Source organism: Homo sapiens, chromosome 4 (genome assembly GCF_000001405.40).
Source record: "Homo sapiens chromosome 4, GRCh38.p14 Primary Assembly".
In the NCBI taxonomy this organism is placed as follows: Eukaryota; Metazoa; Chordata; class Mammalia; order Primates; family Hominidae; genus Homo; species Homo sapiens.
This window is the reverse complement of record NC_000004.12, coordinates 148,525,808-148,530,882: the sequence shown is the minus strand read 5'-3', so window position 1 is coordinate 148,530,882 and position 5,075 is coordinate 148,525,808. Positions and strand designations below refer to the sequence as shown.

The following is a 5,075-nucleotide window of genomic DNA, read 5'->3' as shown; positions in this document are numbered from 1 at the left end:
AGCAAAGACATGGAATCAACCTAAATGCCTGTCAATGATTGACTGGATAAAGAAAATGTGATACATATACACCATGGAATACTATGCAGCCATAAAAAGGAATGAGATCGTGTTCTTTCCAGGGACATGCATGGACTGGAAGTCATTATCCTCAGCAAACTAACACAGGAACAGAAAACCAAACACCACATGTTCTCACTTATAAGTGGGAGCTAAATGACAAAAACACATAGACATATGCGGGCAAACAACACACAGTGGGACCTTTCAGAGGAGGGGTTGTGGGGAGGAAGAGCATCAGGAAGAACAGCTAATGGATGCTGGGCTTAATACCTAGGTGATAGGATGATCTGTGCAGCAAACCACCATGGCACACATTTACTTATGTAACAAACCTGCACATCCTGCACATGTACCCCAAACTTAAAAGTTGAAGGACAAAAAAACCTCCAAACCTATTTCTTAAAAAAAGAGAAAGAAAAAAATACAGGATGAAAGATTTTTAAATGGTATGCCTGTATAGGTCACTTATTATGAATGGAGCTTGCATGACTGGAAGTTGCCCTGGGTGAGTCAGTGAGTGAATGTGAAGGCCTAAGACATTACACCACTGTAGACTTTATAAACCCTGTACACTTAGGCTACAGTAAAATTATTTTTTAATGTTCTTTCTTCAACAATAAAATTAACTTTAGCTTACTGCAACTCTTCTACTTTATAAACTAATTTTTTAACTTTTAACTCTCATAAAAACACTTGGCTTAAAATACAAACACATTGGGCCGGGCACAGTGGCTCATGCTTGTAATCCCAGCACTTTGGGAGGCCAAGGCGGGCAGATCATGAGGTCAGGAGTTCAAGACCAGCCTGACCAACATGGTGAAACCCCATCTCTACTAAAATACAAAAGATTAGCTGGGCATGGTGGCAGGCACCTGTAATCCCTGCTACTCGGGAAGCTGAGGCAGGAGAATCGATTGAACCCGGGAGGTGGAGGTTGCAGTCAGCCAAGACCACACCACTACACTCCAGCCTGGGCAACAGAGCGAAATTCCATCTCAAACAACAACAACAACAACAACAACAAACACAAACACATTGTACAGCTATACAAAAATATTTTCTTTCTTTTTATCCTTATTCTATAGACTTTTTTCTATTAATTTTTCATTTCACTTTTTAAACTTTTTGTTAAAAAACTAAGATATAAACACACACATGTCTAGCCTGTACAGGGTCAGGATCATGAATATCACTGTCTTCCACCTGCACAACTTGTCCCACTGTAAGGTCTATGGGGGCAATAGCACGCATGGAGCTGTCATCTCCTATGATAACAATGCCTTCTTCTGGAATGTCTCCTGAAGGGTCTCCCTGAAGCTGTCTTACAGTTAACTTTTTTATATATAAGTAGAATGAGGATACTCTAAAATAACAATAAAAAGCATAGTAAATACATAAACCAGTACTATGGTTGTTTATTATTATCAAGAATTATCTACTGTACATAATTGTATGTGCTAGACTTTTATATGACTGACAGCATGGTAGGTTTGTTTACACCAGTATCACTACACACGAGTAAGGTGTTGCATGATGACATTATGACAGCTATGACATCACTAGGCAATAGAAATTTACCACTCCATTGTAATCTTATGGGACCACTGTTATATATGCCATCCATAGTTGACTGAAATGTTACTATGTGGCATATAACTGTACTATTTTTTGGCATTTTCTGAACAACACAAATCAACAGTCTTGGGCCATATGAGTTACATCGTCAATGTTGTAACACTGTAGAGTTGGAAGGGACTCTAAAAATATTCTGGTTCAAACCCCTCATCTGATGAGAAAAAGCCAGGAGATGTGTGATTACGTACACAAGGTCACATAGTTAATGGAGGATTAAGTACTAAAACTCTAGTTATTATGTTCTACCACGCCAAAGTTTTCTTGCAACAATACACAACTAATTTATTTTCCCTTCGTTCTTCCTTTTCTTTTTCTTGTCTTTTATTCTCCTTTCATTTATTATCTTTTCTTTCCAAATTTCCTTCCTTCTTTCCTTCTGTTTTCTCTCTCTCTCTGCCTCTCTCTTTCTCTCTCTTTCTTTCTTTATCTTTTTTTCTGTGCCAACTTTACTGGGTTAAGGGATAACTAGATAGCTGGTAAAACATTGTTTATGTGTGTATCTGTGAGGATGTTTCCAGAATAAATGAGACTTTGAGTCAGTAGACCAAGTGAAGAAGATTGCCCTCACCAATATGGGTGAGCATGATCCAGTCTTTTGAGGAGAGCCAGATAGAAGCAGAAGGTAGAGAAATGGCAAATTCACTCTCTCTTCTGGAGCTGGGATGTCCATTTTCTCCTGCCCTCCGACATGAGAACTCCAAGTTATTTAGCCTTCAGACTCCAAGACTTACACCATTGGCTCACCTGGTTCTCAGACCTTCAGACTCAGACTGAATTATACCACCAGCTTTCCAGGTTCTCCAGCTTGCAGACAGTCAATTATGGGACCTCTGGCCTCCATAATCCTGTGAGCCAATTTCTATAATAAACCCCCTCTTATGTATCTCTCTATATATCCTATTGGTTCTGTTTCTCTGGAAAACTCTAATATTTTTCTTTCTTTTTTAAAAATGGAATAAAATTTGAAACCAAAGATTAAAAATATTGCATACTTTAACCTACTACACTGTCTACCCCTCCAGGCACCATTAAGAAACCTTCAATAGTTTCTTTGAACTGAAACTTGTCATACAGGTTCTCAGCCTGGAAACAACCTCATTATTTGTGGAGCGGCTTTAAAAAAATAATTTGAAAATAATTCCTTATATATTTTACTTCACTTTGCATAACTCAGTGTATCTCCATACTATCCATTTTAACACTGGTTTCTTATAAAGCCATTTAAAATGCATCCACTGAAACAGTGAGTAAAATTTTATCATGCAGGTCAACAAAATTTGGCATGGGTTTCATGCATCCAGATTTATTTTAGCATGTTAGATATAATTTTAACTTGGCCTTTACCCTAATAGAGTTTTAAAGTTAAAAAAACATAAACTTGAACACTAATCTACTTTTATGAGTAACTGTAATCCAAATAATTAAGTGTCATGCATACAGAGGTCACTTACTTTATCAACAATAGAAACAACACTAGAACTCAAGTCTACTGAATGGAAATCCAGTTCAATTATTTATTCCACCACATCATATTGACCCTCCCTCCAAAAGAAAGTTTACAGATCAACACAGAACTGTTTGCATCTTTCCAGTCCTAATGTTCCTAAAAAAAACTTTCATCTGTAAGTTTTGCTTCAATAATTATTCTTATTTAGCAATGGGAAGGGCAGAGGATATTTTGATTCTGTCTGCCTTTCTTGGGTTCCACCTTTCTTTCATTGCTGGCCCCTCACTACAGTTGCCCTACTGAAATGGTGAACAAACTTCCAGGTTCTTGTCTTACATCACCAAAGGGGGGAAAAAACCAGTTCCTTGCATCTGTGAAGGAGGTTTCCTTCCTGGCTGGCACAAGCCATCAATTCTTAGGAAAATAGCTGCATCAACAAGTCAGCTATGCAGTTCCTTAAGGATTTGGGCATGGTAGAAGGTGGCAGAATGAGGCTGAGTTTTCATGTTTCAACCTTTATAGAGTCTGTATAACTTTACTCTCAGAGAAAAGTTTTCACCTACAATATCTCCTCTTAGTCAACGCTGAAGCCCATCAAAATACCAAGAACCAACCGCCTCCAGGTCTCTACATGAAGACCCAGGACCTGGCCAATGCCCCCAACGCCCCTGAGATTCTCGAGATCGAGTTCAAAAAAGGGGTCCCTGTGAAGATGACCAACGTTAAGGATGGCACCACCCACCAGACCTCCTTGGAGCTCTTCGTGTACCTGAGTCAAGTCACGGGCAAGCACAGTGTGGGCCGTACTGACATCGTGGAGAACCGCTGCATTAGAATGAAGTCTCGAGGTATCTATGAGACCCCAGCAGGCACCATCCTTTACCACACCTATTTAGATATCAAGGTCTTCACCATGGACTGGGAAGTGCATAAAGTCAAACAGGCCTCGGCTTGAAATTTGCTGAGCTGATATATACTGGTTTCTAGCACAGCCCTGAGTGTGAATTTGCCCACCACTGCATCGCCAAGTCCCAGGAGCGAGTGGAAGGGAAAGTACAGGTGTCTGTCCTCAAGGGCCAGGTGTACATCCTTAGCCGGGAGTCCCCACTGTCTCTCTACAACAAGGAGCTGGTGAGCATGAACATGCAGGGTGATTATGAGCCAATTGATTCCACCGGGTTCATCAACATCAATTCCCTCAAGCTGAAGGAATATCATCTCCAGAGAAAGGTCACTGCCAAATAGACCCCTGTACAATGAGGAGCTGGGGCCTCCTCATATTTGCAGATCCCCCAAGTACAGGCACTAATTGTTGTGAGAAATTTGTAAGTGTGACTTGCTCTCCCCAGCTGGCAGTGTAGTGGGGCTGCCAGGCCCCAGCTTTGTTCCCTGGTTCCCCTGAAGCCTGCAAATGTCATCATCAAAAGTAAGGATGGAGGGCAGCTGCAGTGGGGAACTATAAAATGACAATTAAAAGATGAAAACATATATATATATATATATATATAATTCTACCTCTATAACCTCTTTACTTCAATATTTCCAAAGTGTCTTCATCTTACTTGATAAGTACATACAGCATAAAATCTTTCATCACTGTTAAGCACTCCTTGACACTGTCAGTCTCTTTGATTACCAAACCAGCTTCCTCTCCTAGGCCTTCTCCCAGCCCTTTGACTAATCTTTAGCCTTTCTTTGCAGTCTTCTCCTCCTCTGTCAATCCCTTAAATATGGTACCCTGCTCTTTTCTCAATATCCAAGCTCTGCTGGCCAATGCGTCTATTAAGTCAGCACCTAACTGATCCCTCACAAAATTACACTTTAGCCCAGATCTCTCTCATATCCTAGCAGATAAATATCTAGAGCTGTGCTGTCTAATACAAAAGCCACTAGACACATATGGCTATTCGATAAATTTAAGTTAATTATA

The 5,075-nt window shown here is 40.1% G+C and overlaps 1 pseudogene; it reads left to right on the top strand.

Moving 5' to 3' along the window:
- On the top strand, window positions 3,729-4,623 carry ASS1P8 (argininosuccinate synthetase 1 pseudogene 8; annotated as a pseudogene).